Source organism: Homo sapiens, chromosome 2 (assembly GCF_000001405.40).
Source record: "Homo sapiens chromosome 2, GRCh38.p14 Primary Assembly".
NCBI lineage: Eukaryota > Metazoa > Chordata > Mammalia > Primates > Hominidae > Homo > Homo sapiens.
In genome coordinates, this window is record NC_000002.12 from 112865540 (window position 1) to 112879829 (window position 14290).

Genomic DNA, 14290 nt, shown 5'->3' on the forward strand with positions numbered 1-14290 from the left:
ATCTCTGTCTGTCTCTCCTTTAACTTTGTACTCTACTTGTTTCTCCTCACCAGACCCACTCAAGTCTTGCTTATCTAAAGCAAAACAAAATAGTGAAGGCCGTAACTCCTTCATTAGTATTCTCCTCACCTTCTGCTTTGTTTCTCTTGAAAGAGTGCCTTCACTTACTTCTCCTCCCACTCATCAGCCCTCAACAATTTTGCTTCTTCCTACTACTTAAGCAAAACTTCTTTCATAAAAGTTATTCTTATTCACATAGTCAATGAATAATTCTAAGCTTAAAAAAAAAATCCGTGAGTTTCTCTGCAGCATTTCATACTATTTGACAATTTTCTTTCCTTCTTGAACTACAACCCCCTCCCACCCCAGTTTCTGTAATACTGCACCGGGATTCCTTTGTCTATTCCTCTCTCAGTCTCCTGTATAATCTTCTTTTGTCTACCCCTTCTAAACTGCACGTATTGTCCATTCCCCACCCTCCTCCTCGATTCCTAGTCCATGAATGTCTTACCATCCACCCAGATACCTGGGCGTGTCACCTTGAGTATGTCTTCTCACTCACCACTCTAACCCCACATCTGATCACTCATTGTATTTGATTCCTTCTGCCTCCCACATGCCTTGTGTCTCTGTGCATTTATATCCTCTGCCTCTGTGATTGCCACAGTCCACACAAAAACAGCTTACTTCCTCAACAGTCTCTCTGCTTCAAGTTTTGTGACCCTCCTACCTGTTCTTCATCTCACAGCCAGGGTGATATTTCCAAAACAGACGCAATCATGTAGAGCCCGAGTCCTGGCCCATGGCAGGTGCCAGTGACCTTTTACTGCATGCTTGAATGAATATTATATCCCTGCTTAAAACCCCCAATAGTCTCCCACGGCTCTTTGCATCCAAGCTCTTTGACACAATTTCAGGTTCTCCTGACTTGGCCGTTGCACGCTTCTTTCACTGGCCTTGAATAGGTCATGCTTATCCTTCCTCTATCTGAAACACCCTCCTTCCCTTCAGCTGGGTAACTGGAACTTATCCCTTTGATGTCAGCTTTCATAGGCTTTTTCCTGCCCTATCTGCTATATGGTTGCAGGTCACTTCCTGCTCCACCTATTGTATATTTATTACATTTTATTGCAATTGTTTGTAGTACAGATTTACACACCCACCATCAGTATCTCAGCAGCCACGTCAGTGCACACGTCTGGTAACACTTGGTGAGGTCAGACTTGCAAAGTGTTGACACTGTATTTGGTATAAAATCGTATCTTATTGTGGCTTAATTTTCACTTCTATAATTTTTAATGAGGTTGGGCATTTAAAAAAATGTTTCCTAGCCATTTGTATTTACTCTTAAAAAATATATGTTAGAAAACTGAGAGAATGTATTTATTCTTTTATGAAATGTATATACTTTTTCCTGCTGGGCTATTTTTTTCTTATTTATTTGTAGGAGTTTTTGTTTTTGTTTTCGTTTTTTTGACAGTCTTACTCTGTCACCGAGGCTTACAGTGATGTGAGCTCAGCTCACTGCAACTTCTGTTTTCTGGGCTCAAGTGATTCTCCTGCCTCAGTTTCCTGAGTAGCTGGGATTACAGGCACCCGCCACCATGCCTGGCTAATTTTTGTATTTTTAGTAGAGACGGAGTTTTGCCATGTTGGCCAGGCTGGTCTTGAACTCCTGACCTCATGTGATCCGCTGGCCTCCCAAAGTGCTGAGATTCCAGCGTGCGCGGCCATACCCGGCCGGGAGTTCTTTATATATTCTGAAAACTAATCCTTTGTGAGACATAAGTGTTGTAAATATTGTATCCCAGTTTGTGGCATGTATTTTTAATTTTTAATGGTGTCTCTCAATGAAAAAAGCTTAACACTTAAATGAGGTCAAATTGATCACCTTTTTATTTATGGTTGATTCCTTTGGTGTCATGTGTAAGGAATGTTGTTCCTTCCTGTCCCAAAGTTGCAAAGATTTCTTGTGTATTTTGTCCTAAAAGTTTTAAAGTTTTGCTTTTCCCATCTGTGCACATTTCACATTTGCTACATCTCACTGACTGCTTCCTCTGCTGCAGAGCAAGCTCCATGAGAGCAGGAGGCATGGGTCCTGCTTCTTGTTGGTCCCCAGAGCCCTATGTCATGACTAGGACCTGGCAGGGGACTAGTGAGTAGCTCCTGACTAACTGACTCAATGAATGAATGATTGGATGATTGAACAAAGTGGTATGGGAGTTCACAGCGAGTAAGAGATGCCTTAGAAGAGATGAAGAAGGAGATGGTATAGGGTAGTGGTTCTCAATTCTGGGTCCATGGTGGACTCACCTGGGGACCCTTAAAATGTACCGTGGAGGATCCCAGCCCAAGAGATTCTGTATGACTGGTCTAAGATGTGGTCTGGGCACCAGGTGATCCCAGTGTGCAGCCAGGCCTGAGGCCACTGGATTTGGTGGTAAATGAGGTAGCTATCAAGGGTACAGACGTTGGTTGCCAACAGGCTTGGGCTTGAATTTAAGCTTTGTCACTGACTTGCTGTGTCCTCCTGCACTCGTTGAGCCTGTTTTCTCACCTGAGAGATGGGTGTGATAACACCTACCTGCTGTAGTTGTTGTGAGAGTTAGAGGAGATAAGCATGTTCCTGGAATGAAGTGTGTTCTTAATCCATCATAGGTTTTTTGCTTGTTTGTTTGTTTGTTTGTTTGTTTTTTCCTTTTCAAGAATGAGGTTGAGCCAGACTTTGACAGCTGGGTGGGAAGTGAACATGTGGTGATTGGGAGAGAAGGGCAGTTTATGTGAAGGGAATGTAATAATTAGAGAGTGGGCGTGGGAAGACATGCTGGGGAGAGTGAGCAGGCCGGTTAGCCCTGGTAGAGGGTGCAAGAGAGCAGTGCGGAATCTGCCAGGGAGACAGGTGGGTGACCAGGGTGCCAAGGGTGTGGCTTTTCCCAGGTTCCCATGGACACAGCCATCCTCCCAGATGCCCAGCCTAGCTGTGAGTGAGCAAGAGTTCTGGATTGTCTCTCTCACTCTGTCTTTTTCTCTCATTCCAGAAACAAAGCAGTGACTGGTACTTAGGAGGAGAATCAGGTCAAGTTGGGAGAAACTTGCTTCTGCTCAGGGGAGCAGAAGCAAGAATGGAGGCCCCACCCATGCTGGAAGATGATGAGGGTTTTGGTTCAGGGAGGAGGAATATTGGGGATCTAAAGGGGCCTGGGAGTGGGGCAGGACCCTGCCTTAGGACAGGTAGAAACATTTTCTATAAAAAATGGGGTGGAGGTTGATGGTAGGACCAGGCATCTTTAGTTGGCTCCCTGGAGTGTCAAGCCCTTGAGATGGTCTTTAAAAGCCATGCAGTGGGGTTTGAATCTGGTGTTCAAGCTCATAGGTTATTAACATAATGACACTTGGAAACTATTTGGGAGAGCTCAAGTGAGTGGCCTGGAAGTTCTGTGTTGGTGCAGGAGGTGACTTAGGATGTGCTGCTCCAGACTCATATCTTTGACTGCACACCTGATGCTTCATCTGGCTATCCTGTAAGCACCTTCAACTTAACATGTCCTACACAGAACTCTTGATATTCCTGTTCCTCCCCCAGTTCCTCAGTTCTTACCAAATGTTCTTCCAGTTACCCAATTGCTCAAGTAAAAAATCTAAGTCCTTCTCTTGGATTTCTGCCTGTTCCCTCAACATCCCACCTATCCATGAGTGTTCTGTGGGCCCTGCCTCTGAAATAAATCCTGCCTTTGTCTCCCAGTTCACTCCAGCCACCCATCCTGGGGCTGCACCCTCCTCCTTCCAAGCCCTCTCCCTTTCCTTCCTGGTGCTGCCTGTCATGTCAAGCATATGCATCAGTGCGACCAGGACATTTGAAATGCAACCAGTACAATTGGGCGCGGTTATGCCTACCAGTTTTTCTTCCTTAAACATTTTATATTTATGTTTGAAAGCATGCCACCTTTCTTCACTTGCCAACTTGACAGATTTATTAGTTGACAACATCCGCTGATAGCATCAGTAATAAGTTAATTGTTTTTGCACATGTAGCTTTAATTATTCTCATTATCATTTATAGGAGTTATTCTTTGTAAAGGGTAACTGAGTTTTCCAAAACAAACAGAAATTTGGGGTGTGCCCATGGAGCGTGACTCATGAAATCAGATTCTTAGAAGGACCTCGGCAAGTCTCTGGGTTGCTGTTAATGAGCCTGGCTGGCTGCCAGGGGTGTGTCTGCCCTTTATGAGGCCACGACTGTTCAAATGCTTGCCTGCAGCATTACTTGCCTAGGTAGTGCTTGTTTCTACTGAACTGTCAGGGATCCAATTCTTTGTGGTCTAAGTAACAATACTCAGATTCACAAGGAATTGATTAATAAGCCAGAATGCCAATGTATTACATTTTTGATGAAGACCATATTTACAGTGATTGTATCTGCTCAAGCTCAAATTAGGATTAGAGTTCTGACAAATACATATGTGAGAAGTATGAGGTTAAATACTTGAAATTTGGACTTTTCTAGAAAATCTGAATGTGATTGCCATTCACATACCTTTCTGGGGATGATGATTCTTGTACTTTTATTTTAAAAGACATAGAAAACTAACTTAAGAATCAGATTGCTTGGCTGGGCACAGTGGCTCATGCCTGTAATGCCAGCACTTTGGGAGGCCAAGGTGAGTGGATTGCTCGAGCTCAGGAGTTTGAGATCAGCCTGGGCAACATGGTGAAATCCCATCTCTACCAAAAATACAAAAAAAAAAAAAAAAACAACCAAAAAGAATAAATTAGCTAGGTGTGATGGTGCGTGCTTGTAGTTCCAGCTACTTGGGAGGATGAGGTGGAAGAATTGCTTGAGCCCAGGAGGCGGAGGTTTCAGTGAGCTGGGGTTGCAACAGTGTACTCCAGCCTGGGCGATAGAGTGAGACTCCGTCTCAAAAAAAAAAAAATCAGATTGCTTTATTGCTGGTTTTCTTTCTAAAACTGAGATTGGGTCCCATCATCCCCTGGCCCCCATTGGTTAATGGTTCCTCCTTTGTCTATTGAATAAAATACAGATGTCTGCTTTTGGCAACATGGTTGAATGTAGACACTGCAGGGTCTTCCTTACTCAAAATGAGTAAGGCTTAGATAAAACACATTTTGAAATGCATTTCTGGATGAACAGCAAGGAAAGGAGATCTCTTAAAATCCTCTTTCTGTCCCCCTCTCCCTACCCCCTCCAAGTGGGCTTAAGTAGGAAGGGTGGTGAGCGGCAGGTAAACACACGTCAAAGGCAGTCTTCCTCTCTGAGGGAAAACACTTGTATAAGCATTGCAATCAATGGGCCTCTTTAATTATGTGCCAGTGGCAAGAGCGGGTGCTGAACCCAGGGGCCTGCCTCAATCCGGGGCCTTTGAGGCAGAATAAAGTGGTCTCAGGTTGTTGGCATTTCCTTGCCCTTCCACCCGAAGCAGACACAAATCCTCTCTGGAGGCAAGTTCCCCAATTCAGCCAGTACAACTCCCACAGACTAAGATCAATCATGTACAAGCTCACAGACAAAGGTCACCAAACACACAGAGCAATAAACAAATTCATGAGTGACGTGAATGAGAATAAACAGAAACAATAACCACCAGCTGGGATGCTCTAAGTCTTCAGCTGTTAGAATTCCTGAATATAGAATAAAACTGCCACAATGGCAAACATGCATCTAGTACTTACTGTGTGCTGGGTTCTAAGAATTTTGCACATTGTGCCAGATACCGACTCAGCTTCACACTCACCCTCCTACTGTGCCCTCTTAATTTGCACTAGATTAAAAGGTAGAAAGGAAGAGGCAGCTATTCTGTTCTTGGCTGTGCCTCTGGCAGCACATGCAAAATGGGCAGTAACAGTGGCAGTCACAGGTAAGTAGCCTTCTCACAGTGTGGAGTTAAAGGCATGGGACTGAGACGAGCAAGGTTCCTAAAGGGACAGTGGCCAGTAGATGACCAGGGGCTACTGGAGTGGCTGCATGGCTCTGTGGAAGCTCAGAGGAGCCTTGGGTCCTGCAGGTGCAGTAGCAGCTTTCTGTAGTTCCTGATCTCTGGGTCCCACAATCTTCCCCGTTTTTGCTCCTCCACTTCTAATTTTGTAACTGACTTCCCTGTGTGTACTTCTCTCTCTGATTGAAATAGCCAGACTGGTTTCTGTTTCCTGATAAGACATTGTCTGGTACGAACACAGTAACTCATTTAATCCGATATCTCTATGAAGGAGGTACAATAATTATTCCTATTTTACAGATGAGGAAACACAGCAGAGAAATAAAGTCAATTGTCTAAGGTTGCACATTTAGTCAAGGGAAGGGTTGATATAACATATAATTATTTAGAAAACATCTAAGGAAATAAAAGGCATAATTTAAAAATAAAACTAGGCAGGTTTAAAAAAATGAAGTAATCTATAAGTAAAAAAGTATAATTGTTGAAATACATATCTTAGTGGATGGGTTAAATAGCTGAAGAAATGATTAATGAACTGGAAGGTAGTTCTGAGGAAATCAGAATTCAGCATAGATAGAAAAAATGGGAATTTACAAAAGTACACAGGAATTATAAAAGAGGTTAAATTATAGGGAGGGTAGAATGAGAATTAACATTGGTCTAACTGGAATTTTGGAAGAAGAGAATAGAGAGAATGAACAAGGCAATATTTAAAGAGGTGGCTGAGAATTTTTCAGAACCAACACAAACTATGACTTTACCAGTAGAGAAAACAATGTACACTGAGGAGGATAAATAAATATACTATGAACAAATTGTAATAATAATACTCAACAAAGACAAAGAGAAGATCTTAAAATCAGCAAAAAAAGAAAGTCAGACTTAGAAAGAAATGACAATGGCAGACTACTCAACAACAACAATGGAAACCAAATTCAGTGAAACAGTATTTTCAAAATGCGTATTTAATCTATCTTTGAAGAATAAGGGTGAAAAGGGTGAAAATTGCTGCCTTATACAAAATATCAACATTAACAAAAAGTAATGAAGGTAATATAAAAATGTTTTCAAATAAACAAAACTGAGAGAGTTTACCACCAACAAGCATTCATTAAATGGACTTTTAAATGCAGTTTTTAGGAAGAAGGAAAACAATTCCTAAGGAAGGTCTGAGATGCAAAAAGGAATTATGAACAAAGAAATTGTTAAAATTATAGGTGAATTAAAAAAACTGCCTGCATAAATGATAATAATGACAATGATGCTATTAATAATGAGTTGATAAGGATAAAGAAAAGGACAGAATTAAAATACTAGAAAACAAGCATGCTGGAAAGGATTCAGGAATTACTTGAAGGTTAAAGTTCTAGGGTCCTTCTATCCTTCTAGAGGGGAGTCAATATATTAATTTTTGACCGTCACTTACACAGTGAAAAACTTTAAGGATAACCATAAAAAAATAGAAATAGAGAGTATAACTTCTGAAACAGTCAAGGGAAAAATATGGAATAAGAAAACTGACCAAAAAACATCTCAGTCAATCAAAAAAAAAAAAAAAGAAAGAAAAGGTTCGGAAGGAGAAAATCAAAGCATAGAAAAAGCGGGACAAATAGAAGTGGAAAAGAAAAAGGTAGAAGAAACAGGTCCAGAAATATCACTGATGCACTAAATCACCATTAAAAGATGAAAACAAATGAACAACATCAAAAAATTCTAGTGACTGTAGTAGTGCTGATCAGAATAGGCTCTAAGATAAGATGCATTATTGTGAGTCAACTTGTGATGATGAAAGGTTTAATTCACCAGAAAGACACAATTATAAACTTGTAATCAAATAGTTTTATTTTATTTACTTTATTTATTTATTTTTTTTGAGACAGGATCTTGTTCTGTTGCTCAGGCTGGAGTGCAGTGGCTTGATCTCAGCTCACTGCAGCCTCCACCTCTTGAGGCTCAAGCTTTCTTCCTGCCTTAGCCTCATGAGTAGCTGGGTCCACAGGCACACACCACCAAGCCCTGCTAATTTTTGTATTTTTTGTAGAGATGGGGTTTCACCATGTTACCAGGCTGGTCTCAAACTCCTGGGCTCAAGCGATCTGCCCCCCTCGGCTTCCCAAAGTGTTGGGATTATAGGCGTGAGCCACGGTGCCTGGCCTCAAATAACTATTTAAGTGAAACAAAACTAGTATGGCACTAATGAAAAATGTATAAATCCATAATCGCAGAGGGATTTCAACTTACTTCTTTCGATTATGTAAAGGTCAAACAGACAAAAGACAATGACAAAACTTAATGCAATGAACACTTTTGATTTAATGAACATATATTGGATATGTACCCAAGAATTAGAGAATACATACTAGTTTTGAGTTTATGCAGAACATTTACAAAAATTTAGTGGAAGCCTAAATTATAAAAAGTTGCTGTCACGTAGAATAACACACAAACCCCTGAGTCCGGAATTCAAAGCCCTCCACACTCTCCTCTACCTTTGCATCTTTATCCTCCACCACACTGCAGTGCATACTCTGGGCTACTACTCACTGTTCTTGATTCAAATTCCATGTTCTGTCAGCTCAAATCATTCTCTCTGCCTGGAATAACTACTTCATACATATTCTGCTATTGAATTCTTGTCTTAGCACCCCATCTACTCCAAGACGATGTCCAGTTGGGGTTACTCCCTGTCCCATTTTCTTTGATTACACTTTTTTTTTCTACTTCCATTATATTATTGATCACATCTGTGCCACAGTTTTTGACTTTGTGTCTGCTTTTACTCTTTTCTAGACCCTGAGAGCTCCTGAAGGGTTGGGTCATTTCTTTTTTATTTGCTCATTCCTCATGGCACAGTGAGTGCTTAATAAATGGCTATTGACTGAAATTAAACTGTATCTAAATGGACATATTCCACTTCTGGGCCATTCATTCTTTCTTTCTATTGGAACCAGGAGATGGGGAACCATAACAAAGGTAAGGTTGTGCCATGTGAAAGAACATGGAACCTTCCCCTGAGGGCCAAAAAAGAGCAGGGAAAGGTGCAAAGACAAAATCTTCCATTTTTAAACAATGTAAGAATGTGGTCCACCTCATGCTCAGGTGGGACTTTATCATGACGTTATTTTTGGGGACTTATAGCTGCATCATTTACCCCATATACATTTACCTTTAGTGTAGGGAACTGAGGACAGGAATTTTGTTGATGCAGACTCTTGCTAATGAGGCTAACACTTGGAGAATTTTTATCATGCATTCAAGAAGCTTGTTTTACATTTCTTCATTAATACTTTAGTTGGTGGTTTAGCTTTAGTTGTAGGCTTATCAGATATTTGGAGATATCTTCATAAACGATGGCTTTGGTTTTAGAAGAGTTATTCTGAAGCTACTATTTCTGGCAATAATCAAACAGCATGGCCATTTGTTTTGTAAGGCCTTTCCTAGAATATGACGGTAAAATCTACGTGTGGAAAAATGCTTATTCTTCTGTCCTCTATAAATGTGAATCTAGTTTGTCTTCAAAATGAAATCAAGTGATTAAAATGTAGTTTTCTAAGAAGATAAATGGAGCAAAGCACTCTGTGTTTCACAGTGTTGGAAATCACTCATCCCTCATAAAACTGTCCCAACTGATCCTGACTCACATGAATGAATTAAAATAAGAGTTAATAACATCAATTTACATTTTTAAAGACACTTTCCCATGTTTTAGACTATTGGTTGGAAAAGCTGGTAGGTGTACAATTTGTGGAGAGTTGGCTGTTTTTGTCTGTCGTTGTTTGACGTATTTCAAAGCCATATCTAATTTTGTTGCAGAATGGTCTGAATTCTACAAAAATGTTGAGTTGTGTAGTGTGGAGAAGTACGGAGCCATTTACTGAAAGGCTGGGGGGAAATGACGAGACCCTGAGATAAGGCAGTAGTGGTGCGAACAGAGTGGAAGGGAGGTAGTTGAGATATGTTCAGAGTAGAATCAGAATGGACATAGTGAACAACTGGATGCAGGTGGGGGCTGAGGAAGCAAAGTTGAGGATAATTCTGAGACTTCTAGGTTGATCCACTGAAGTTACATTATTCAACACCACAAGGAAACTAGGGGAATGAGAAGGCATACTGGTTTGCTTTGGAGTGGAAGGGCAGTGATGTAAGAGGAGTTAATGAGTTAAAGTTTGGATATGCCTGAACTTCAATTTGATATGTGCATCTGATATACCCTTGGGGTGACCCTCCAGGCAATGGTTGAACATGTGTATTTCTTAGTAACTGATAGGCATCACAGACTCACATCAGTAAGGAAGCAACAGCAAACTTGATTGGACGATATACCTGGAACTCAGTACCCTATGACTGGAGCAAGTCTCTGTCAGTGAAATGAGGATAAGAAGAATCTTGACCTTGTGGAATATGTTGTTAGGAATATATGTGATGAACAACATAGGATACTTCCTACAGGGCTCCACATGTAGTAAGGGCTTTATAAATGCTTGATAAATATTATTGTTGTAATTTATTTCCAAAGTAAGATGCCACTGGAGGAATCTTTGGAACCCAAATTAATAACAAATAGGACTGGATGCAATGGCTCACACCTGTAATCCCAGCACTTTGGAAGGCCAAGGCAGGAGGATCTCTTGAGCCCAGAAATTCAAGACCAGCCTGGGTGACACAGGGAGACCTTGTATCTATGAAGAATTAAAAAAAATTAACCAGATGTGGTGGTGCACGCCTATAGTCCCTGCTGCTTGAGAGGCTGAGGTGGGAGGATTGCTTGAGCCCATGAGGTTGAGGCTGCAGTGAGCCATAATTGTGCCACCACACTCCAGACTGGGTGACAGAGTGAGACCCTATCTCAAATAAATAAATAAATAAATAAATAAATAAGTACAAACCAGCAAACACTAATCCTTTCTAGAGATTATTGAACTCTGGAGGGCAGATCTGAATGGAGCCAGCAGAGGGACCTATGGAGATCAGCCTGGCCCTGGACAGCACCAGGCAATGGGGTTGCTAGAGAGGTAATGGGGTTGAACAGGGTTTAAGCCATGAGGTCTCAAGAATCCGTGAAGACTCAGACTAATTTTTTTTTTTTTGCATGAGGATTAGGTGTTCCTAGGAATTTCAATGAGAGCAGGGTTAATGAAGGAATGCAGGGTAGGAGAGCTGAGGGAAGGCATCTGAGAGAGCCTGGCTTATGAATGGCTGCGTCAGTATGGCTCACCTGCTTTCCTTGTATCTACTTAGCAGATGATCCCACCCCAGGCCTCCAGGGCCAAGGTCATTTCCACATAGTCATGGGCCCTTGAGGGCCTGGAGCAGTGTAAGGAAGACAGAGTCTTAAGAAATTGCATTAACAGTCATGGTGCTTGGCAAGTGTCGTCATCCTATGCCAAGCCTGATCTGAAGGGGTGCATGCTCATAGGTAGCTGCTGCCCAAGATTACAGCAGCTTCTTCAATCCCAGATCCATGCTCTCCTATATTCATTTTTCCAGGGGTTCCTGTCCTTCGACAGTGATGAGATGCAGAATGACTTATTGAGTTATTCTCCTGATAGTTGCCAACTTTTCCAAATGACAATGGGGCATGGAGCTTGAGAGTGGAAATGAGGCCCTAGGGATAGCGTGCTTAGGAAAACACTCCCAGCCTGATGTAATTCTGGGGGTACAATGGCATTTTCATCATCAAGACTGATGTAAAGGGTGACTAGCAGTGAGTTGGGGGTGACTCGCACTGGGGCTAGGTTTCTGATTCTGCCTAATCCAGACAGAGCAGAAGCACTAGTGGGCTGGTAGAGGGCCTCCAGGGCCTCACTTAATGTCCTGGAAAAACAGCTCCAGATTGTTGGTTCACGTTCTGAGGACAAGCTTGGGTACTACAGGATAGAGAGAGTGGTGGGAGATGCCGTGGCCTGCCCTGCTGATGCCTGCCCTGCCATTCCTGCGTGTGATGTCTCTGGGGCATCTTGCCTTCCCTGCCCAGACCTGTAGTTCAGCTGAGGGCATGTGGAGGCCAAATGGCTTCTTAGAGTGTTACTTTCCTTGAACAGCTCTGCTGGGAGAACTGGAGGAGCTAGCTAGTCACGGTAACTGCAGCAGTCAAAGGATCGTCCCGGTGGAGGTGGGGTGGAAAGGTAGAGAAAGAGAACATATAGCGTTTTCCTTGGAGATGTGTGGGCATGTCATAGAGGAAATACCCAATTCCTGAGCCTTGAGCCCTCCAGGAAACCTTGGAATATTAGGTTAGTCATCCCCAAGGAAGTCTAAGAATTCTGGTCTCACCCATCTCCTTTAATTCCCACAATGATCCTACATGATATTAAGGAACACGGGCCAGTAACCCTCCAAGCAATGGATGTGGTGGTGAAGTTTGACCTCATGATGGAGCGGAGGTTGGTTTGAAACCTAAGAATTTAATTTATTGTTTCAAACTGTTCTCCACTCAGCGTTATTAAAGCATACATAATTGACACATAAAAATTGTATATGTCTACGGTGTACAATGTGATGTTTCGATCTATGTATACATTGTGAAATGATTACAACAAGCTAAATAACATACCCATTCATCGTGTTTCAAAGGAATTAAACTCAAGCACAAAAGAGAGGTGCTGTTGAAGAGTAGGGCTGCTCTATCTAAGTAGTATGTCTGGGGTTGTCCTGGATCAGGGTCCTTTTGTGCTAGTAATAAACCAGCCCTTCTGGGGCTGCTCCACTTTCCCCACATTTTCTTCTGGAGCCTCCCTAAGAATTAGGACATGGCCACTTTCTCTGCATAGGCTTCCTACTTCAACAAGGACAGGGCTTGTGCTGCCCCATGCCACTTGAGTGTCCCTACAGCACAGAGCTGAGTGCACACTGGCTGAGTGAGGAAATCCCCCAGATTAATCTTGGTTCTAAGCATCATGGCTGTATTTCACACGTATATGAATTACAAATTACAGCATAGTCGAATAAGGATTTTTGTGCTACAACTGGAATCCCAGATTATGCAAATTGGATAGTATAATATTGAAATTCCTAGGACTTTTTATTAGTTTTAAAAAATTATACAAGCTTAGAGTAAGAAATTAAACAGTGCAAAAGAATTCACTGTGAAAAGTAAAATGCTCTGTCTCTGCTGAGAGACAGATATTGCAGCCCAGATACTACTGGGGTCAATAGTTTCCTTTAAGCATGCCATTTTGATGGTTTATGGGACTTACAGCTCAAGAAGCTTGACACTAGGGTTGATCTCAGAAAATCATTGTTGCAGGTATTAGATATGACCGTCTCATAAAGATACACACACAGACACAGCGATTGGAGATATTCACTGGGGCTTATGGGCTGCTTGTCCTTTCTGCTCTGTGCCTAAGTTGGGCTCAGAGTAGCCTGGCATCGGCTGTGGGGAGAATGCTGGCATGGGGTTAGCAGGAGCCCACTTAACATGTCCTAAGCCACCTGGAAGAGTCCTTCAAGGAGACCAGACTCCAGAGGCCCTAAGGAAGGAAGGACTTTTGCCCGTTTTTAGGTATTCTAGTCCCAGAGTTTAGGGAGGAATGGTTTGGCTTTGGGTCGTGTGCCCCTTTACCGAGTGGGATGGGATGTGCCCATGAGCTGTTGAGCTGGCTCTTGGAGAAGACAGCAAAAGCGGGAATAAGAGGTCAGGAAGCTGTGTGGTTGTAGGAAATCCCAGCAGAGGGCCTGGGGGTCAAAAGTGGTCATGGTAGTGACGGTGGAGGCTGAGGTGGTAGAAAATCAGAGGACAAACCCCATGGGCTGCTGGTGATCTGACCGAGCTCCTATGCTCTCCTGGTTCATTTTAGGCTCTGTAGCAGCAGATGATTGGCTGGTGTGAGAGCAGTGCACCTGCCATATCAGGCAATCCAAGACAAGTCCAAGCTACGCTGGGAGGAAACCTGAAGGCAGCAGCAGGTAGACTGGCTGAAGACAGACAGGCAGGCAACTTGTCAATCAGATTTGTGTTTTTAAGGACTTTTAACTGGGGAGCCCTCCATGACAGATCAGATGAGAGAGGAATCTGGGTCCGCCCATGTGTCAAGCTACCAGAGGGTCCCATCGGTGCTTGGATCTTCTTTGAAGCTGGGTCTGAGGTTTGCAGGTAGAGGGTGAGCTGGTCAGAGGGACCTATTGCAGAGCTAACCAACACCTTCCCAGGAATGCAAGCACAAGCACCCCACCGCGGGCAGGCGGGCAGGCACTTCTCCTTTTGCCACCAGGACCTCACAGAGGCTGATCTGGCTCTGTGAGGTGGGAAAATGGGTTGTACTTAGTACATAGAGATAAAAGGCTTAGGAGGCCCCTCCATCCTGTGACCCTGTCCCCAGACCACAGGTGCCGGCAGG

General features: G+C 42.8%; 2 annotated features.

The window, feature by feature from the left end:
• Window positions 459-659: a silencer, noted in NCBI's record as "peak3821 fragment used in MPRA reporter construct". NCBI's record gives its function as "represses an SCP1 promoter by STARR-seq MPRAs in K562 erythroleukemia cells {active_cell/tissue: K562}" and the evidence as "EXISTENCE:reporter gene assay evidence [ECO:0000049][PMID:32103011]".
• Window positions 14074-14223: an enhancer, noted in NCBI's record as "active region_16405". NCBI's record gives its function as "activates an Ori minimal core promoter by ATAC-STARR-seq in GM12878 lymphoblastoid cells {active_cell/tissue: GM12878}" and the evidence as "EXISTENCE:reporter gene assay evidence [ECO:0000049][PMID:35858748]".